The following is a 23,841-nucleotide window of genomic DNA, read 5'->3' as shown; positions in this document are numbered from 1 at the left end:
ACATATTTATTATTTTTAAATATATGATTTTAGCCTAAAAAATCAAGTTGCAAAGAAGTCTCTCATGCCATTATTTGTATTTTATAAAGCTCAAGTGTGTACTTGTATTTACGTAGAGTATTTTCACAAAAGAAACTGGTAACTGCCTATTTTACGAGGGGAAGACTGGGGCGTTAGGGATTCTGTTTGGGTAAGAGATTTCCATTTTGCTACATGCATTTTTGTACAGTTTGGGAGGAAAATGCCTTATTAGCTTAGAGAAAATGTTGGTACATATAGTTAACATTTCTGTAAAGTAAATGGATTGGATTACTGTGATCTCCGAGATTCCTTTCATTCTGAAAGTTTAGGATTTTAAACTCTTATTTTGTGTGCTCAGATAGCCATTGTATATCCAAATCAAGTTGAAGAACCAGTTCTTGCTACTAAAGAATTTATATTCTCTAGGCTGGGCATGGTGGCTCATGCCTATAATCCCAGCACTATGGGAGGCCGAGGCGGGTGGATCACTTGAGGTCAGGAGTTTGAGACCAGCCTGGCCAACATGGCAAAACCCTGCCTCTACAACAATACAAAAATTAGCCGGCCGTGGTGGCAGGTGCGTGTAGTGCCAGCTATTTGGGAGGCCGAGGCAGGAGAATTACTTGAATCCGGGCAGCGGAGGTTGCAGTGAGCCAAGATCACACCACTGCACTCCACCTGGGTGACAAAGCGAGACACCGTCTCAAAAAAAAGAGAGAGAGAAAAAAAGAATTTATATTCTCAGAAGGATGGGAATGGATATGCATATGTTAAACAGGACATGAGAAATATATTGTCATTTATAGAAAAACTAGGCTGTCTTTTGCAGATTGAGTTGTTCTAAATAGTCTTTAAAAATTAACAGCTATTTTTAGCTACAAAAATAAAAAAATAATTTTAGATAGAAATCCATCTAAAATATACTCTGTACTTCACTACTTCACCAGGAAATGACATGACTACAATGAACATACCATTATTATGAACTGCAGTTACTAACTAAACAGTGGCATGTCATGGTAGTATCATTAGAGTCATTTGAGGTACATACATTTGAGGCTATTTGTTCTCAATTTAATGACTTCATCCTGCAGGTTTTAGTAGTTTTGTTTTTCTGGCTTCCTTTATAGATTACATTGTTGACAACACTCAGAATGCTGACTTGGAGGAAGAAACTCTCTGTTCCACTTCCAATTCATTGGCCTAATATGTCAGCTAACAACATTTTTATGAGAAGAGTAGGCAAAGTGTTCATGGGCTCTGAGTTGGGCCTCACTTTAAATAGCATACATGCATTTTAATAGATGGACTTTGTAATATCTCCTTCAGCTGCTTAGACCTCTGAGCTTTATTAGTTCATGGTTCTTGTCTGTGTTCCTAATAGGTGTGATTGTCTTATGGCTTGGAACATGGCCTAGAAATAACTAAAAGGATGTGCAAGAATGGCAAGAAATGGAGGGAAGAAGCCAACGGCAAACAGAAAAGTGAAAAGCACAAACACGAAGGGCTTTAAATAAGGAGTTACAGAATATTTAAATATTAGGGATTCTGTCAAGGAATATGCAAATCAATTACTAGAGCATATATTGAAGAATAGTTATTTCATTCTTTTGTTCAAGGAAGGATTAAAGATTAGTAGGAGCTGGGAAAAACAACATTCTTGCCCATGTAACATAAATTGCTAAAAAGAAAAGGAAAATTAGGACAAATACCTATCTTTTTCTCTTTATTTTTAAAATATTGAATTCATATTATACATTTACATCAATTATCTCATCTGATTCTCATAATTAGGGTTATAAACAGCCAAAGAACCAGAGCACCTCCAGACTGCCTAACCCCTGTGGCGCCATTCCCAATGTGCTGGGATTGAGGGGCACCAATCACAGAAATACAATGTACGTCATGCCCCTGGAGATGGATGCATGGCTGCTGACAGTCAGTTACAAAGCTTTCTCCCTCCACATAGTTGCTCAGTTTTTATGACAGTGTGAAGATGAAGCCTGAGTTAAAAACAACAACAGCAACAACAACAGCAACGGCAACAACAAAAACCTTAAAGCAAACCTTGGAAGTGGAATTGGTTGGAAATAAGCATTAAGAAAAGCCACAGGGTTAAACTCTCACCCCCAGGGCTGTGCAGGGAACTTTCTGATCTTTCAATTGAAGGAAACCCCAACCTCAGGACCATGGGCACCAGCAGAGCATTCAGAATATGCACCTACTGCTACATATTTTTGAACTATTTATGATATTCTCTTCAGCTCCCCTGGATGTGCATTTGACACACCAAAATGCATCACCTGAAGTAAAAAAATTCTCTGAGGGAGGGGTGCTCAAGAACTTAACCAAAACAAACTTCAAACTGAGCCAAACTATAAAATAAAACCAGACTACCCACCCCAAACCCCCATGAAGCAAGATCAGATTTTATAGAGCTTTGTTTATCCACGGAGAAGAGATGAGCTAGTGACTGGAACATAGTATGACGTCTGCATCATATTCAGACTTGAACAAAACATTTAATTTGACATGCTATGCAATTTCCCCCGACACCTTCATTCCACATAGCCTTGATAACAACACAGCCACGCAGACTGAAGGAGGCTGAAGCTGCCATCTGTAAAAGGTAACAACAGTGGCATTCTGTGCAGTTCCGAGGGTCTGTCTCTTAGCAAGTCACCATAGTTTGTATTTTATGTATGCATTAATAATCCAGAAAAGAGAATGAACAGAATGCTCATGGCAGTTGTTGAAAAGACTAAATTGGGAGGTGTTACAAGCTTTGAGAAATGGCCAGGATATGGACAGCAGTATGGTTCGGAAGAACCAAAACAAGTCAGAAATAAGGGATGAAAAAAATGAAATTGTTTTCAGAAAGATGCAAACAAATATGTGGCCAAAAAAAATCATGTCAGAAGCATTCATTGAAGAAGAGAATCTGGAAAACTGGGATTGTTAGTAGTAATCAAAGAAGGAGGGAGCACCAGGAGAAATGTGGACAAATTTACAGTGAATATTAACCACAAAAAGACAACAGGACTGTGTGAGTCAGTGTGGAAGCCCGGAGGGGGAAGGGAGGCTATGGCCTCTCATACAACTGTAGCTAGAATTACTCCCAGACCACTGTATTCAATTTCAAGCACCTAAATAAACAAGCAGTGTTGACAATCTTGGAGGGAAGTCAGAGATAAATAATGAAAATGATTAATGGAAGGGAAGGATTGATTTATGAAAAAAGATTTATGGAGTGTATCCTGTGGTTAAGCAATGGTAAACTATGCAAAGACAATTTGGTACAGTCTAGAAATGATGACAATGCCTATACTTCATATTTAGGTGTAGAAATGTAAGGAGAAGAAAGGGACTGCAAGGATAAAATAAGATAGAATTAATTAATGAAAGTAGAAACATAAGACTGAATTTTCAACAGTGTTTATTGAACTTGTGATAAGACCAGTACCTGTTTTGATGAACTGCTCAATTATAAATCATATTTTTAAGATACATGCTGAATCCACTGTCAGTTCTATCATTATAATCAGAAAGCCCATTGAAAGGGATAATACCGTCCTGACAGCAACATGGCTAGAACAAATGGGTCTCTTACTTATAATTTCACTGTTTCTCTTCTTTGACCTATCAGCAAACAAGCTTGCTTTTAACAGAATTCTAAAATAGATGCTTTTGTCAGCTTAATAAGGAGAAATTACAAGGGGCAAAAAGCTCCTTTTTATTCCTATTTTAAGCAAAACTTCTATACTCCATCTTACTGAATGGCCTCACCACCCTGCATCCAGAAATTATGTGTAAATGGGAAAGAAAAAAAGAAAGAAAGAAATCTGAGGCTTTGTACAGCTTTAAAAGACATCTGCCTACTTATCTTCACTTTAGTGAAAAGGTTAGTTTTGTTTTAAAACACTTTTGGGAATTTTCTTTGTCATTGATTGAAAAGACAAAGAAATGTTTTTTATAATCTATATAAGTGGTCATATGATACCACTTTCAACATATTTTAAGACTGAGACTGCAAGACAACCCAATTTTTATTCCCAGTTTCCCTTGATCATATTAGAAGTACATATTATTTGTTGAAGGAAAACAAGACATTCACCATAGAATGAAGTACAGAAAAAGATAAGTATCCTGGCCGTGGGTCTCCAGTCTAATCTGAAACTCTTGGGGAAAATGAGGACCACTTCAGCATAATTATAAGTGGCACTGAGCATATCACTGGCAAAGTTGAAGAATTAAGCCAGAATCATAAGAAGATCTGGTTATATTGTCAAATATATCCTAGAGTAAATCTTTGAGGCCTAAAGAGACTGAAACTACTTAGTTAATGGCAAGATACATTTAAATGGTAAAATAAAAGTGCTCCACGGCTTAGCTTGAGCATAAACTTGAAGCTCAGCTCTAACTCTGTTGACATATCTGCAGTGAGACCTTAACAAATGACAGTGATCCTGTGTTTCATGGTATCAGCTACTACAGTAGGTAACATTTGCCTAGCACAGAGTTGGCACTCAACAGATATATGCTGAATGAATGAATGAATGAATGAATGAATGAGTGGAGGAATTAACTGGCCCAAATGGGAAAAGGAGGTGGTGCAATAGTTGACCTTAAAAATCTCCATGTGTTAACTGCACCTAAAACCAGCTCTTATTTCTACAACATCAATCAAATGTGACTGTATTGTTTCTTCCCCCTTCCAAGTTCCTCTCTCATTCTTTTAAATCATACGTTATTATTTTCAATATCCATTTAAATTCACCAGGCATTTACAGAACACCTACTCAGTGCCAAATATTGGGCTAGGAGCTGGGGACAATTTCTCTTCTCAGGGAGTTTATGGTCTCATTGGAAAGATAACAAGTAGACACACACACAATCAAAAACATACAACAAACAAATTATTATAATTCATTAAGATGACTGTCACAATAGGGGTTTGTGTGAGGGGCCACAGCAGCACCGAGAAGACAGCAGCTAAATCCCGGGTGTAGCAGAAATGTGAGAAGTACTGGAACTTCTTTTCCCCTCCAAGGATTCTCTTGACCTTCACTTTAACTTGAGTCTAAGTACGTATATGTGTTTAGAAGAGAGGATGATTCACCCCAGACCTCATACTTTTCTGCCATCTACATTCTATGACACAAGGGCATCTCTTTTTATAGGGAAGTTTGGCCTTTAATTTTTCTACAATTACTTGCCTGTAAAGACAAAAAGGTTTGCTTAAAATTCATTTGTGATCTCTCTATTCAATGTTAACTCCTTTATGGTCTTTTTCCATTGGGTCCTTAGGAAATTATTTAAAATGAAATCAGTTGGCAGGAATACTGGATTTCATGTGTCAAATAAAAAGAGCCAGTAAAAACTGTTTATTCTCAGCAGGAGTGTAGCATGTGAAATTGCTGGTTTGCAAAATTCATTTTAATCTATTATTTTTATCAGCATATTTTGTTGTTGGTAGGTAGTGAAAGGTGCACTGGATAAAAATACAATACAAGCTGTAGTCTGCAATACCTTAAAAAAGTCTACTTAGCAACATATTAGGTATGCTTTATTCAGTCTGCATAACACTGAGGTTTTTAATTTAATTTATGTTTCTGTTGACTGAATGTAAATAAATTAAAAAATAGGAAGTTCTTTGCATACCACTATCTCAGGGGAAGGCAGTATAGAGATAAACTGCACTTTGATCATTTTATTTTACAATCAGTATCTTAGATGGCAGATTTAAGACAGGTTCTGTAGATTGGTGTTCGGCTTTTATTACGAAGGTCTGATGTGAACAGGATATATACCACAATATAATATTATTATCCATCTTGTGCTTCAACTGCATTTCAGTGAACAACAGTAAATCACCTGTAGCTAGATACTAGATAATATGTTCTGTAAATCCCCCTTCCTTGGTCTCTGAATGAGTTTAAATATAAACATATTATCTTGTTGAAGTACAGTTAGACTATCATAAGCTCCATTATCTACCTCAGTTTTGAAAGTAGTAACGGTAATATAGAAAATGAAAATACATATCATTCTTCTTTTTGAAGTCTGTCCATCATCTAGGCAGAAAGTTTTGGAGCGTATATCCTGCCACGCTGCTCCAATGTGGAGAGAGATCAGTAGAACCCTTGATACAGTGTGTATTAAAGAAAAACAATTAATGTACAGGAAAGACTGCTGGATTTAGCTTAGGTGCCATGACTTCCTGGGAGATATGGACTCATCACTTCACTGCAGAAGTCTTCATTAGAGGCCATGTCTAGCTGGGACTTTTGAGTTACGGCTTTCAAAACATTTTACTTGTTAGTCACAACTTCCTGTAATTCACTTAGAATTCATGTTATTTGTAGTCATGACATTTCTTTAGCTTGGTTAATATATTTAAAGTGCATAAAACAGTGCCTGGCACTTAGTAATGAGTAATAGTTTCTGGTTGCGATGAAGATAATAAGAGAAACTGGCATTTTTATCAGGACCAGTACTAGGGTGAGACAAGCGGCCTTTGCAGGAACCTGAGCGGTGGACTCCTCAGATTTTGCACCCTAAGCACCTTGTTTGCTTTACCTTTATACGTTACTAGTCCTATATTAAAGATACCTCATGTCTGCATCATTATAAATTATGCAGTTTATACACATAGGCTTTGCTGATAGCCATTATATATTAATTATGAACACCCAGTAGAGTTTATATTTGTGACATGAACAAGAGATAAAACTTTGCAAATATATTAATATATACATTTAATAGACACTTCAAATGTGCGTGTTACATAAATACAATGTTTATGTACACAAAATTATGCACATACATAAACACTGTAGATATACATCATATTATTTATGCTGACATAGAATTTAGAATATGCCATACACAGAAATATAATTGGATGTTTCCAAAATACATACATTGCGTGTGTGTAGAAACTCACTAAGGAGTGTGCTTTATAACCATGTAAAACCATTGCTGCTTTCTAAGGACTCAGCATTTTCAAAGTTTCCTCTATGAACCGATTGACAGCATTTCGCATCATCCCCTCCGCTTGACCCAGGCCTGAAAGTTAATCTGATTTGCCAGGACCACAGAGCAAGCCAGAGGAGGAGCACGGCTGGACCTCAGATCTTCAGCATCCCACGTATTGGAAGTGAAAATTGTCACCCATGACTTTTAAACTTGCTTCCTCTAGTCTGACATTGTTAAGGGTCCAGCCGACGAAAGGATGGAAGGTGCGGACTCGGGCTGGCGCCGGATGGAGGAAGACGCGCAGCTGCACTGGACCCAAGCGCCAGCCCCAGCCCCAGCCCCAGCCCCAGCCCCAGCCCCAGCCCCAGCGCCAGCCCCAGCGCCAGCCTCAGCCCCGGCGAGGCGCGCGTCTCCCTGGGAGGCAGCGTGTCTGTGCGCGCACATCTCTAAATGGGTAAATTTAGAAGTCGTGTAGGTGTGCTTATATAAATATGCCTCTGCCTTTTTCTCCAAGGCACTGAAGAAAAGAGAGACAACACTGGATCTTCTGTGTGTGATTAGGCTTTTTTTAAAGTTGTTAACCGAATCTATTCGAAGTCAGAAATTGCATGGGTTGTGGCAATTAGATACCCAGGAAATCTGGCAGGAGCCACAGCATTGCTTTTTTGATATTATCTGGGTATTATATTCCATCCTCATGTAAAAATTTGAACATAACCCATAAGACTAATATTCTTTTTTTTTTTTTTTTTTTTAAGATGGAGTCTCGCTCTGTCGCCCAGGCTGGAGTGCAGTGGCGCAGTCACGGCTCACTGCAACCTCCGCCTCCTGGTTCAAGCGATTCTCGTGCCTCAGCCTCCTGAGTAGCTGGGATTACAGGCACGCATCACCACACCTGGCTAATTTTTGTATTTTAAGCAGAGATGGGGTTTCACCAAGTTGGCCAGGCTGATCATGAACTCCTGACCTCAGGTGATCCACCCGCCTTGGCCTCCCAAAGTGCTGGGATTACAGGTGTGAGCCACGGTTCTCGGCCGTTTAACATTCTTTTAAACGGCTCCCCCACTTCCAATCTTAGTTTCCGTCCCAATTTGGTGAGTACCAGTCTAGAACTTCCTCTGCACATTTACATAATATATAGAGATCCATACAAAATATGTAGTATTTTTGCGTGTATGTTTATGTGATTTTATAAGAATGGAATTAGTGCGGATAAACTGTCAGCAACTTTTTTCTCCCACTAAATACTCTGACATTGGAGCTCTTCCCATGATAATAGGTAGAAATACAACGAGTTCGCCTTAGCTGAAGCATCATAACATATTCTATTGTGTGTTTATACAGGATGTTAACTAAGCCCCTACTGAATACAAGGGATGAAACTTAGTATGGGCTCAGTAAGTATTTCTTGAACACATTAATAAATAAAATTTCTTAGCTGGCCAACAAAAGAAGAAAATCTCTTCAGACATGAATACTGGGTGATGTATGCCATGGAGAGTTGACCAAATTATGCACTTAGTCAGAATAATTTCCTCACATGATACTAGTAATAACAAAGTTTCATTAGTCACTTACTGTGTGCCACCACTTTATAAGCACTTCATGTGCATTTTCTCATCTGTGATGCAGATATTATTATTATGTTCATTATACAAATGGGGAAATTAAGCTCATTGAGGTCCTGAAACCCTCCCAAGCCCTACTTCTAGTAAGGGGTGGAACATACTTTCAAACCCAGACACCAAGGCCCTAGGGGTTCCCCACCGTGGCTTTATCCTGCTTTTAAATTTTTTTTTTTTTTTGAGATGGAGTTGCGCTCTGTCACCCAGGCTGGAGTGCAATGGTGCAATCTCGGCTCACTGCAGCCTCTGCCTCCTAGGTTCCAGCAATTCTTCTGCCTCAGCCTCCTGAGTTTCTGGGATTACAGGCACCTGACACCACACCTGGCTAATTTTTGTATTTTTAGTAGAGACGGGGTTTCATCATGTTGGCCAGGCTGGTCTCTAACTCCTGACCTCAAATGATCTGCCCGCCTCAGCCTCCCAAAGTGCTGGGATTACAGGTGTGAGCTACTGTGCCTGGCCTACTTTTACAATTTAAGGCGAAAGAGAGAGAGAAAAGACTGTGTTTTCTGCTTCTGTTTTTAATCTCTTGCCTCCTATGTTTTTATATACACATGTAAATAACTTGAAGATAGACAGTAAGGGTTATAGGATGGGGATGGGAAGCAGTATGGATGGAGAGGACAAGAAATGCAGGTTAAGTGTAGGCTGGGGGAGGTAGTAAGGATAGTGCATAGAAAAAAAAAGGAAAGAATTCACCAAATTCCAGGTTGGTTAAGTTTAAGTTTACATTTTTAGAAAATCTATTAGTGTGGAGGCCTTTGTTGCTTAGAGTGAATAAGAACATTAAACTGTGGAATGGTCTTTGACTCACCCCTTCCAAGTATTGATCAAAAAGCAGGTGAAGATGGGGAATGCAGGAAAGCAACATAACTGTGACTGTACTGTGATATTAAATATCTGTGATTTTTATTGGTGATAAAATCACATGCACTCCTATTATGACTGTAGTCTTTTGCCTACCTTCATAATGGAAGGAAATAAGATTTCAGTTAACGATTTCAGTTAGAGATTGTTGAAAAATAAAGGGGTAGTGCTTTCCCCATCTCAGTTCACAGATATTCCTGAATGCTAACCAAAATGTTCATAGGCCCCAGGTTAAGAACCTTGCATTCAGTGTCATTGTTCCTGGGTCATGCGATCAGGCCCACAGGGTGAATTAAAGTAAACCAATCGTAGTAATTCCATTCTTTTTGCCAGTGGTAGTTTTAGGCATTGGCTGTAGCCATCTAAGGAAACAAAGTCACAAACCTGCTTGAGAGAGAGGAGGAGAGGGAAGGGACAGAGTAGTGGAGTAGCATTTCTGTGGAGGGGTTATTTACTCTTTAAAAATGAACAATAATCAGCTGGGCGCGGTGGCTCATGCCTGTAACCCCAACGCTTTGGGAGGCCGAGGTGGGTGGATCATTTGAGGTCAGGAGTTTGAAACCAGCCTGACCAACATGATGAAACTTTGTCTCTACTAAATACAAAAAAAATTAGCCGGGCATGGTGGTGCATGCCTGTAATCCCAGCTACTTGGGAGGCTGAGGCAGGAGAATCGCTCGAACCCGGGAGGTGGAGGTTGCAGTGAGCTGAGATTGCGCCACTGTACTCCAGCCTGGGCAACAGAATGAAACTCAGTCTCAAAAAAAAAAAACAAAAAAAACCAAAACCACCTCAAAACCTTAATCGTCATGTTGACCCCATAAGAGGATCTAGCTTAAGGGGACAACCCCCAGGCATGGCACAGGAGGCTGGGAAAGAAACAAGAAACTTCACCCTTGAAGATGTGGTTGAGCAGCTGACCCACCCACTCCTGCAGCCAGACTGGAGCCACCTACTGTTGGGCTTCATGTTGTATTTATTATGTGTATAATAATATATTTAAATATATGTCGTGATTATTTTGTTAGATGATAAACTTCTTACTGTTTGAGCTCTTTTTAATTTGTCCTTCTATTATTAGAAGCAGAAAGCATCCCAGCTTCTACAGACTGCATCATGTGGATCCTGCCTGTCTTTCTATCTTTACTTCTCACCATTCTTCCCCTGGCTCACTAGACTTTTGTTTCTAGCTCTTTGCTATTTGCTCTAGGGATGCTGCCCATCCCTCTTGTCTGACCAACCCCTTCCTGGCCCATAAGGTGTGAACTTGAATGGCATTTCTTCAGACAGACTAGTCTGATCCCTCACTCTAAATTTTATGTTCTCTCTCTTCCTTGACCCCCTTTCCCCATCACTTTCTATTTTTCTGTTATTTCTTCTCAGACCTTATCACAACTAGCACTTAATAAATATTATCTTGGGTTCATTTATTTAATTTCTCTCATTAGACAGCATGCTCCAGGAGAGCAGAAGTCCTAGCATCATTGTATTCCCTGAATTAATATGCACAGTGTCTGTGCATACACAAGTGTGTGTTGAATAAATAAAAGCCTCATCTCAGTCTGATTCTCTTCCAGCACTCAGAAGAAGGTAGGATATACCTTCCTGGGTGACTGTGTCTTAACACAATCTCCTACATTACTCTTATTCCTGTCTTGGCTTTTGTTTGTTTGTTTGTTTTGAGACAGGGTCTTGCCCTGTTGCCCAGGCTGGAGCACAGTGGTAGGATCTTGGCTCACTGTACAGTGTCAACTTCCCCAGGCTCAGGTGGTCCTCCCACCTCAGCTTCCTAATAGCTGGGATGATAGGCACACACCACCACACCCAGCTAATTTTCAAATTTTTTTGTAGGGACGAGGTCTCACTATGCTGCCCAGTCTGGTCTTGAACTCCTGCACTCAAGTGATCAGCCCGCCTCTGCCTCCCAAAGTGGTGGGATTACAGGCATGAGCCACCGCTCCTGGCCGTGTTTTGGCATTTTAAGCAGACAAATAAAAGCCTAACTCAATGATCATAAGTTGCAGAAATAATTGGAGCAGTGAAGAATTGAGCCACAGGGATAGGATAGTTTGAGTGGGAGAATAAATAATAACTAGTACTATGAATAGGTACACAATTATAGTATTTTTAAAGAAACCTACTGATTTTTAGATATAGGGTGCATTCAAGCACTTCACTAAAATTTAACTCTAGTTTTCCCAGTGTATTCTTATATTGTCTAACATTGTAATCTACAATGTGATAAATATATTCACTCTTCCAGTTGTTATGTGTCATTTCTGTTTCGTATCTTACTACATTGCTGAGAATATCCTGTGCAATTTTAAATAATGGTGGCTTTATCAGGAGCTTTGTTTTCTTCCCCATTTTAATAGAAATGTCTCTATCAGTTGTTGATGTTGGCTCTGTGTGTGATATTTTTAAAAAAATCATATTAAGGAAGTATTTTTCTATTCCTGAAAGTTGCTTAATTATGGTACCAGTTGGAAACATGTAAAGAGGCATAAGTGGTTTGAAAAATTTTTTTTTTATTAATAGATATGGGGGTCTCACTATGTTGGATAGGGTGATCTCGAACTCCTGGCCTCAAGCAATCCTCCCACCTTAGCTTCCTGAGTGCTGGGATTATAGGCATGAACCACCATGCCTGGACTCTAACTGTTTTTTTTTTTCTTTTTTCTTTTTTTTAACATTCTGTGAGACTGGTCTATTTTCATATGTCAAATCCTCTTTACTTTTATCTTGTCTCATTTTTTTATGTAAGTCTATTTGTGAGTGTCCCACCTTCCTGCTGAGTGGTAGGCCTAAGTTTGCAGAGATAATAAAATGGACTTACTAGGTGACCCACACAAGTATTAAGCATTGCAGCTGAAGAATGATGGCTGAATATGTAACTGTCATCTGCTGTTCTTTTAACTGCTCCTTCTTGACATGAACTATGTATTTAATATATATTTTACGATATACTACCTATAGTTACTACCTAAAAAGAACTTACTCTGTATCAGCCCTATGCAAATCACTTTATATGGCTTCTGTCATTCAGTCTTCACAACATTCTCTGAGGTAGGTTCTACGATTACAGTTACCAGACACAGAATTCAAAATATATATGCTTGCTATGTTCAAGGAGATAATACAGAATTGAGAATTTAAGCATAAAATTGGAAACTATATGATGCAATACAAAAAACACAAAAAATTAAGACTATAATAAATGTGTGCAGTAGACAAATGTGAAGAGAGAATTAGAAAATTGGAAGATAGGTCAGAAGAAAATATCCAAAATAATAATGGAGAAAAATAAGAATGGTTAATAGCTGTATGGGATACCATGAGAAGAGCTAACATATGTATTACGGGAGATCCAGAAGATTGAAGAGAGAAGAAAGAACATGAGCCAAAAATAATATTTGAAAAGATAATGGCTGAGAGCTTTCCAAAATGAATGAAAGCAATCAAGCAACAGATTCAAGAAGACCTGGGAACCACAAGGAGTAAAACTACAAAAAGAAACTCTAATCTAGGCACAACAAAGACAAACCAATGAAAACTAAAGATAATACATTTTAAAAAACATAAATCCTTTGCACACATTTACACACATGAAAATCTTTTTTAGAATTTTAGCCATTTCCACTACCTGTAAAGTTCATCTTCTTTTGGGATTTTGTATCTGATCAGTTCTATCTTTGGAAAGTCTTTTATTTTTGTAGGTAAATTTCTTTGCTTTTATTACGGGATGGTAAAATTTTTTCTTCTAGTGAAAATGGCAGAGGCAGATTCATGTGCTGACTACATTAGCTGCTTGAGTGTTAAGGTAGCAATTCCAGTATCCCTAACTATGTAAGGAATAGAATTTCTCTCTGCGGTGACAGGAAGGAAGAAACTATCAAAGGAGGTGTTCTTTCACTATCTGTAGTGGAATTCCCCGAGAGAAAAAGACAATCTAAATGAATTACTTAAGATTTGTTTATGGACTATTTCTAAAGTGCAAAAGATTGAAATTATAAGACATCTAAAAGCAAAAACATAACAGGAAAAACAACAAATAGTAGATGGTTTTCTGGATCAGAGCTGATAAAAGAAAATCTTCCACCACATTAAATTTAAAAAGGTTTAATTGGGCAGTGAACGATTGGCAAATTGGGCAGCCTCCTGAACCTGAGTAGGCTCAGAGACTCCAGTGCAGCCATGCGATGAAAGATTTATGGACAGAAGAAGGAAAGTGATGTACAGAAAACAGAAATGAGGTACAGAAACAGCCGCATTGGTTACAGCTTGGCGTTTGCCTTATTGAAACACAGTTTGAACAGTTGGCTACATTTGATTGGCCAAAACTCGGTGATTGGCACAAATGTAGGCTATGGTCTGGTTACACCTCCACTTGTTATAATTCGCGAGGTACAGAGAAACCTTTAGGCTGAACTTAAGTAAGGAGTCACCTTTAGGCTAAATTTGATTTAACAGAGCTGAGGCACCAGTGTTTGGATCCAGGAATTCTGGCAATAAAAAACAAAGAGGAATAAACATAAGATTATATCGCATTTATTTATTTATTTACCTAGAGATGGAGTCTCCTTTCACCCAGGCTAGAGTGCAGTGGCGCAATCTCGGTTCACTGCAACCTCCGCCTCCCAGGTTTGCCCAATTAAAGCAATTCTCCTGCCTTAGCCTCTCGAGTAGCTGGGATTACAGACGTGCGCTACCACGGCTGGCTAATTTTGTTTTGTATTTTTAGTAGAGACGGGGTTTTATAATGTTGGCCAGGTTGGTCTCAAGCTCCTGACCTCAAGCGATCCACCTGCCTAGCCTCCCAAAGTGCCGGGATTACAGGAGTGAGCCACTGCGCCTGGCCAGGTTTTATTTTTAATTTTTAATTTTTGGAAGCACAGAGCATACAGATTCACTTACACAAGCAACATTTTTTCCTGGAAGTTAAGAAAAGGAGACAACAAACGTAGTTTAGGAAGTGCTGGATTTGGAGGTAAGACAACTGGGTTCAGTTCTAACTTTGCCACTCCTTAACTGCTCAATTAATCTGTGTCCCAGTGATTTCTAAAGAAAGGAGGATAAAAATAATTGACCCACTTGCCTCCTGTAGTTGATACTTACAGTCACATTAGAAATGTTAGATAAAATAATATTAAGAAAGACTTCTCTGGAGGTAAAGGGATGGGAAAAAGTACCTGCCTGCTTTAAATGACTTCAGGAATAAAAGTTGGATTTCATTCCAGCATACTTGACTGCAAAGAAGAATCCAGTCTCAATGTCAATAATCTTGAGGATTGAAAGAGAGGCATTAAGAATGAAGATGAAGCCAGGCAGGGTGGCTCGTAAGTGTAACCCTAGTACTTTGGGAGGCCAAGGAGGGCAGATTACTTGAGGCCAGGAGTTTGAGACCAGCCTGGCCAACATGGTGAAACCCTATCTCTACTAAAAAATACAAAAATTAGCTGGGTGTGGTAGTGCACACCTGTAGTCTCAGCTACTCCAGAGGCTGAGGCATGAGAATCGCTTGAATCCAGGAGGTGGAGTTTGCAGTGAACCGAGAGCATGCCACTGCACTCCAGCCTGGCAGCCTGGGCAACAGAGTGAGACTTTGTTTCAAAAAAAAAAAATGAAAAAGAAGAAGAAGGAAGAAGGAAAAAGAAGAAGAGGAGGAGGAGGAGGAGGAGGAGGAGGAGGAGGAGGAGGCAAATAGTGTCCCAATATTTAGAAAGTATTTATATAGTATGTATTGGTAGAGGCAAGAAAGAACATGAATTCCAGGAGAAAAAAACTAAAATATATTGATCTTTGGCAAGATTCTGTAGTGAATTTTGAGATAGTTTATTTGTTAGGTGAAGAAAGAAAGTTGCAGTTACCAGCAACCAATAGGACTTCACCAAGAGCAACTTAAAACAGCCATTCTTTTTGTTCACGTTACCAAACTGGTAGGTTGAAGGAATGCATCATGATTCTAACAAAACAGATGATGAAGTTTCTGGGTATCACTGAGAACAAGATGAAGAAAAGGGTCAAGAAGATAAAATAATTAGGTAGATTCCCTAACTGGTTGAAGGCTTGTATCTCAGGATCTCCCACTAATGAACTAGGTGGCAAAGCTTTAGCTGGCATGCTGCATGGGTCTGTTCAACTTCTTAAATTATCTGCTTAGATGAAGACATGCTTACTTCATTTTGAGATGCTATAAAGAGAGTTAATGTGTTGAGTGACAAAATGAGATCTGAAAAGGCCAGGTATGGTGGCTTGTGCCTGTAGTCCTAGCTATTTGGGAGGCCAAGGTGGGAGGATCACTTGAACCATGGAGTTTGAGTCCAGGCTGGGCAACAAAGCGAGACTATGTCTCTTAAAAAAAATAAATAAATAAGGGCTGGGCACTGTGGTTCACACCTGTAATTCCACTTTTAGCGGCTGAGGTGGGAGGATCGCTTGAGACCAGGAGTTCAAGACCAGCCTGGGTAACATGGCAAAAACCTGTCTCTACTAAAAAGACAAAAATTAGTCAGGTGTAGTGGCACATCCCTGTAGTCTCAGCTACTAGGGAAGCTGACATGGGAGAATTTTTTGAGCCTGGGAGGTCAAGGCTACAGTGAGCCATGGTTGTGCCACTGCACCTTGGCCTTGGTGACACAGCAAGACCCCATCTCAAACAAAGCAAAACAAAGCAAAAATAAATAAATAAGACCTCAAAATATCTTTATAGCTTTGAAGCAGCTGCGAATGGAAAACAGTAAATTTAATAGGGAGGAATAAATACAAAGTGAACATTTTCCTTACATTAAAAATTAGCTGCACAGGATGGTAGAGATTTGGCTTAATCAGTTTATATGCAGAAAGGACTCAGGGTTTTCACTGACAGCAAGGGCAACATGAGCAAGTCATGTGATTTGCCATAAAACACCCCCAAAACAAACAAAGATCCTTTCTTCTTAGGCCAGACTGAGAGGAATACCCTGTCCAGTCCAAGGAAATAATAGTTCTTCTGTATTTGGAATCAATTAACTTACATCTGGATGATCGTGACTAGATAGGGATGCCACATTTTAACGGGAGCATTGACAAAGTGGAGCTGACCAGGGAGGGTGATCAGAATGTTGAAAGGTCTGGAAACAATCACACAAAGAACAGCTGGAAGATCTTGGTTTATTTTGCCTGGAAAAGGGGATGGTGCGGGTCTGTGTTTACAGGGGGAGATAACATAACGTCTGCAAAGAATTTAGCACAGGGCACTATACCTAGTAAACACCCAGTAAATGCCAACTGTAATTCTGGTTCCAATAATGGAAGCCTTGAACATTCCATAGCCTCAAAAGGCAACACTAGCAACAATGTAGAGAAATTGTGGGAAACACTAACTATTTTAATATAGAGATGGAAGAACTTTCCCTCACAACTATGCTAAGATACAACGGATTGTTTCTTGACTTAGCCATCACCTGAGATATTATAGAAGTATCTGTTTTTATAGTAGCTATAATGTCCTAAAGAGGTATAACTAGTTGGTATTATAAATCATCTCGTGGCTTAGAAGCAGAACCTGTTATATCACTTGGCCATTTCTGAGAGACAAGCTTGGATGCTGAAATAAGACACTTTGTTAGTACTGCATATGTTCTTTGAGTGGAAGACATATTTGCAGAAGGTATGACATAATTTTCTTTTATTATTTTTAAGAAAGAAACATTTTTCAGGAGAATGTTAAGATTATTAGCATATAATAGCACTCAATAAATATTTATTTAATGAATTATCAAGACAAAATAATTTTCATTGTCACTACCTGTAATGACTAGAAATTCCCAAGCAGAGGGAACGTGGCAATGAGAAAATAATCTTTTCAGACTGGATTAAGAAAATATGGCACATATACACCATGGAATACTATGCAGCCATAAAAAATGATGAGTTCATGTCCTTTGTAGGGACATGGATGAAGCTGGAAACCATCATTCTCAGCAAACTATTGCAAGGACAAAAAACCAAACACCGCATGTTCTCACTCATAGGTGGGAATTGAACAATGAGAACACATGGACACAGGAAGGGGAACGTCACACACCGGGGACTGTTGTGGGGTGGGGGGAGGGGGAAGGGATAGCATGAGGAGATATACCTAATGTTAAATGACGAGTTAATGGGTGCAGCACACCAACATGGCACATGTATACATATGTAACAAACCTGCATGTTGTGCACATGTACCCTGAAACTTAAAGTATAATAAAAAAAAAAGAAAATAACCTTTTTCCTCCTCACATCAGAGAAATCTTTTCCCACATTGTGGAGTGCTATACGTGTGTGTGTGCATGTGTGTGTGCATGTGTATGAACTTAATCTTCCTCATCCTCAGGGAATTGTTCCTGCCTGGAGGTGAGGGAACCATCAATGGCCTTGTCTGAGATGCACGCCTTGGTGCACAACAAACTCCTCTGCCATCGCTTAGTCCTTCAAAGCTGACAGTGCTTTTAGAGGTAAAAGCTAAATGGAAATCTCTTTTTCTCCTCTTCCTTTCTCTTCTTAATGTGCATTTTGGGAGGCAGTAGGCAGGCACACCTACTGTATTGCTGATTCACAAACTTGAGAGCAAGGGTTCCTACTGCTGGTTGTATAGACCTTGCCAGCAGCTTGTTTTTATCAAGGGACACTTTAACAATCATCATTAATAACGGAGCTAATATTTTTTCACTGAGCTATTACACAGTGATGGAGAGCCACTGGTAAACTCAGCCCCATGCCCTGACCTAACCAATCACCTTGCTTTCTAGATACTAGATCAATTAGGATGTTTAAGATTTAAGGTGAGATGTCAGATAATTTTGATGGCTAGGAGATACATACCTACCAACTCTACTTAAATCTGTTCATGATAAGTGATATCATAGATATATTCGATTTCTCAGCTTTAAAGAACTTTAGAGATCATGCAGTTTTACATTATTCCATTCAAATAAAATAGAAGGAAACAGCTTGGTACCCAGATGGAGGGGTTCACCACTAGCCTTAGCATATCTATTTTATAAGTTTTATAAGAAAAAGGATGAAAATAATACCAGCTTTTAAACTTGTATCCCATTCTGCAAGAGGTGGTTTGGGGATCAGCTTCTGAGGTTGGATGGGAAGAAAACAGGTCTATGTTGGAGGAAACAGATGGAGCCATGGTGAGAAACTCAGATGCTAGTGAGATTTATTTTTACTACTTGCAAGTGGAATTGTGAGGGAGGTATTTTAAAATATAGTCAGACTCAATTTACGTAAACAGTTATGAACAGCATTAAGGTTTAGACTTTAGAAATTATGTTCAGTTTAGAAGTTATGACAGTTATATGAAGTTGTTCATATTGCCTGTACTGGTGATAGTAACAACGTCCTTTCTTTTCCTCTTGAATGAATTTTTTTAAATTTTGAAACTTGACCGAAAAGGTGACTATGTAGACTGAGAAACCATCAGGTTACAAGAACAAGGAAGAACTGTATTTATATTTTGTGCTTGTGACTAATGTTGGAGGCAATCATTTATTTATGTATTTATTTATGTATTTATTTATTTACTTATTTTGAGACAGAGTCTTGCTCTGTCACCCAGGCTGGAGTGCAATGGCATGATCATGGCTTGCTGTTGCCTTGACCTTCAGGCTCAAGTGATCCTTGTGCCTCAGCTTCCTGTGTAGCCGGGACCACAGGCACATGCCACCACACCCAGCTAATTTTTAAATTTTTTGTAGAAACAGGGCCTCACTATGTTGCCCAGGCTTGTCTTAAATTCCTGGGCTCAAGCGATCCTCCCACCTGGGCTTCCCAAAGTGTTAGGATTACAGGTGTGAGCCACAGTGCCTGGCATATATCCTAATACACTTTCTAATGTGATTCTCTGACACATGCATGAGTTTTAGGATTTCCTTCCTTCATTTATATGACTTTATCTCCCATCATGCCATATATAGTTTTTTTTTTTTTTTTCAGTTATTTACTTCCTTCCAAGATTAAAGAGTTTTGGTCATTTTTAAGCTGATTTATGTGACCTTAACTCCAAATGTTATTCTTTAAAGTAAATTTGTAGGATATTTGGGAACTATTTGGGCACATTCCTTGATTGCATTCAATGTCTCACAATGTGGCTTATAATGGTTAGAATAGACTGGGCACAGTGACTCATGCCTGTAATCCCAGAACTTTGAGAGGTCAAAGTGGGAACATCACATGAGTCCAGACATTTAAGACAAGCCTCATCTCTACAAAAAAATTAAAAATTAGCTGGATGTGGTGGCATGTGACTGTGGTCCCAGCTACTTGGGAGGCTGAGGCACAAAGATCACTTGAACCTGAAGGTCAAGGCTTCAGCGAGCCATGATCATGCCACTGTACTCCAGCCTGGGCAACAGAGCAAGACCCTGTCTCCAAAAGAAAAAAAAAGTTTGGAATGAAAACTCTGCTGAGGTTATTTTAGACTCTGCAAGCAGAGTGATTTTATTGTTGTTTATGTTAACACTGGGAGTAGGAGCCTCTAAGAAAGTTGAGATGTCTCTGACTTGATGTCAACAGTTAATCTGGAAACATGAAAACCAGTTTAAGTATCCCCTTTTTGAGATTAAATTATCTGAAATGTCAAGATACTAGTTGTAATCTTGTTTCTTGGCACCTACTTCTAACCCTTAAACACAATAACTCAATAATCAAGAAAAGTATTTTGGAAAAAAAAAAAACCCAGTAATGGTTTATAATTGAGGTCAGCATAGTTGTGGGACTGGAGTGCTCTGTAAGTGACACGCAGTCCGGGAAGTAGATTTTGGGTATCTTTGATGTTTCTTTCTTTCTTTTTTTTTTTTTTGAGATGGCGTCTCGCTCTGTCTCCCAGGCTGGAGTGCAGTGGCGCGATCTCGGCTGACTGCAACTTCCGCCTCCTGGGTTCAAGCAATTCTCCTGCTTCAGCCTCCTGAGTAGCAGGGATGACAGGCGCCCACCACCATGCCCAGCTAATTTTTGTATTTTTAGTAGAGACAGGGTTTCACCGTATTGCTAGGCAGGTTTCACCATATTGCCAGGCTGGTCTCGAACTGCTGACCTTGTGATCCGCCTACCTCAGCCTTCCAAAGTGCTGGGATTACAGGTGTGAGCCACCACTCCCGGCCTGATATCTCTTAACTATGATCTGAACAAATCACCTGTGAATTATAACTGAAGGGTTTTCTTATTAAGATGCCATGTCCTATCCCTAGCAAATAAAACTAACCATACTCTGGGATATAAGAAATGCAGTGAGACTTTTTGCAATGCCAGCATTAGAAGCCTAGCTGAAGCCACACACTCCAGTCCAACCAGGTGCTCTGTAGATTTTATTGTGTATAGAAAATGGGCAGTAAGTAAATAAAGTCTATATACTTAAATATAAACTTACATTTATTGATCTCCAATATTTTCCTTCTCCCCTGCTTTCAATGGGCAGCCTGGCCCTCAGGGTTGTCTTACTTCAGTGATTGTTGTAGGGTAGGTAGAAGTGGGATGGGACAGGATAACGTGGACGCTGCTTGGAATCATGCTACTTCTCATCTTTTGTAAAAGCCTAAGCTTATTTAAGACATTGTTCTGGAAATATTGGATGAAGAAGAGAGAGACAAGATGCTTTGGAGGGCAAAAAGATAAGAAAATGAGGATTTTTGAGGATCGACGTAAGAAAGAACACGGTCTCCAGGGCAGAGAGTAAAGAAATACACAGTGTATTGAGCACAGGCTCCCCAAGCCCCGTCAAAATGTCAGTAAAGGAATTACAAAATGTGTAAGCCCATAAGGACAAAGAGAACAGAAGAGGCGACAAGAGCAGATCAGAGTTATCAATAAAAGTTTAGAGTTTGAAAAGTAAGTAGGTATGTTGTAACTAATTTAGCAGATGAGGGATAACTGAAACCTACCTTTCTCTAGAGGCGGATAACTAAAAGAAATGGGCAGTTCACATCATAGAACCAGGGCAAGTCTTAGAACCGGAGGCACCAGATACCATGGAAATGGAGGTGAAGGGTAAGACTGAACCAGGAGGAGTGGTGAATGTTTACCTAAGAAGTAATGAGACCCCTGTTCCTGTTTTCTACCTGGGTCAGCTGGTCAGCTACCTGTTCCCTACCCTGGTGGGTGACTGAAGATTTGTTTTTTTCCAGGAACTGAACTAGAATATCAGGTATTAGGGCATTAGGAAGGTGCTGGAAGGAACACAGGAAGATGAGAATGAGGTGGGAAGGTAGCAGGCAGGAGAGAAAAATCTGGATTTCTTGGAAGGTTTGCCAGCTAAAGCCAGACCTGACAACTGAACAGTGAAGAAACACCATCAGAAACCCACAGAGCAGCTTGAGACCAGTAAAGAAAGCCTGTTCTGAGGAAAACTGGCAATAGTAGTCCTCAGAGAATCTGATTAGGGCTCAGATCCTTCAAGCAGAGTAAGGACAGAGAAAGAATTTCCAAGTTACTGTTGAAGTGACGCATTCTTGCCATGAACCCCCACAAGCATAACTAGGTTGGGAAAGAATAAATGACCTTCATGTGTAGACCAAACACAAATGGAGAAATATAAGTGCTGAATAAACACATGAAAAAATGTTCAGACTCACACATGATCAAAGGAGATACATATACAATGAGATGTCCATTTCAACTAGCCAAGATTAAGAAGAATGAGAATACCTACTGTTGGTCAGGGTGTGTTGACCCAGCATAGTGCTGGAAGGAGTGTAAATAGACTATTATTTGAAGAAAGTGTTTTGACAATATTTATCAAGAGCTTTAAATATATTCATTCCTTTTGGCCCATAAATTCTGAAAATCTCACCTAAGAGGAATATAACTATAAATGTAAATAAATATGAATGATAAAAGATACTTAACATTTATTATCTTTAATAAGTAAAAGATTAAAGAAACTAAATGCTTAACAATAACATCCAAGTAAATTATGTTACCTTGCTGCAATGAAATATTATGCAGCCATAAAAATTTATGTTCACAAAGGGTTTGCACAGTTGAAATGTTGATGCAATTGTATTAAACAGCATAAACATTTTTATAGATGGTATGCTCTCACTTATGTGAAAGAAAACTGCAAAAAAATGCTTGGAGGAAATGTGCCAAAATATGACAATTGCTGCGTGTGTTTGGATTATATATGTTTTTCTTCCTTTAATTTTTTAATTGAATTTTAAAATTTTCTAAATAGCTTTTTTTTTTTAATAGGAATGAATACTTTTGGACTGGAAAGTAGACCTGGAAAAATGGCCGTTAGGTTTTCTGTTAACTTCAAACTCATCGGGGAAAGTAGATATAACAAATGTGTAGAGGTGCAGTATTTTAAAAACTGAATTTACGTTGAGGGGGATGAGTAAATAAAGTACGGAGGGCATAATAATGTCCCTCCAAAGATGTTCATGTCCTAATCCTGAGAACCTGTGAATATGTCAGGTTTCATGGCAAAGGGGAATTAAGGTTGCAGATGGAATTAAGGTGTCCTAATCAGCTGATGTTGAGGTGGGGAGATTAACCAGGATTTCCCAGGTGGGCCCAGTGTAATCACAAGGGTCCTTGTAAGTAGAAGATAAAAGCAGAAGAGAGAGAGAGAGAGAGAACCAGAGAAATGGCAATGTGAGAAGGACTTGGCCTGACATTGCTGGCTTGCAAGATGGAGAAATGGTGCCACAAGCTAAAGAATGTGGGTAACCTGTAGAAGTTAAAAAGGCAAGATAATTGATTCTCCCCTAAAGCCTCCAGAAAAATGATAGCCTGTTAACAGCTTTATTTTTGCCCAGGGGGTACCATTTTAGACTTTTGACCTTTAGAACTGTAAGTTAATACTTTTGTGTTGTTTTAAGGCACTAAGTTGATGGTAATTTGTTACAGCAGCATTAGGAAACTAATACACACACCATGATCCCATTATTATGACAGAAGTCAGAGTCACTAATAAAATGACAAGTATGTGGTTCAACATTTATATAAAGGTTTAGAGTATATGAATACTTTCAACATGCTTTAGTTTATTTGATCCTCACAGCAATCTTGTAAAGGAGAAAATGCATGCTGTTCCTGATTTTGCAAGTGGGGAAAATGGAGGCTTGGCATGGTAAAACAATTTGTTGAAGGCTACACAGTGGCAGAGTTTGGATTCAGAGCCTGGCCTCTGACCCCAAGTCCATGCCTCTCACCAGGCACCTTAAAAAGGTTAAGCAAAACAGAGCAGAACCCTTTGTAAAATGTGGATCTCTATCTTGGCCAAGTACAGCAGAGAAAAGGAATGCTGTGAATAGTTGGTGTGTTAAGTTTATGGGATTTATTTTCTACAAAATTTTTGAACAGAGCAAAAGAAATTAAA

General features: G+C 39.2%; 1 long non-coding RNA gene across 1 annotated transcript; it reads left to right on the top strand.

Moving 5' to 3' along the window:
* Positions 1-7,985: 7,985 nt before the first annotated feature.
* Positions 7,986-22,806, top strand: LOC105369744 (uncharacterized). Its single transcript, XR_944889.2, has 3 exons — positions 7,986-8,093; positions 17,848-17,968; positions 22,710-22,806. It is a non-coding gene; the product is annotated as an uncharacterized LOC105369744 (long non-coding RNA).
* Positions 22,807-23,841: the final 1,035 nt, after the last annotated feature.

This window comes from Homo sapiens, chromosome 12, assembly GCF_000001405.40.
Source record: "Homo sapiens chromosome 12, GRCh38.p14 Primary Assembly".
In the NCBI taxonomy this organism is placed as follows: Eukaryota; Metazoa; Chordata; class Mammalia; order Primates; family Hominidae; genus Homo; species Homo sapiens.
This window is presented reverse-complemented; position numbering and strand designations above follow the sequence as displayed.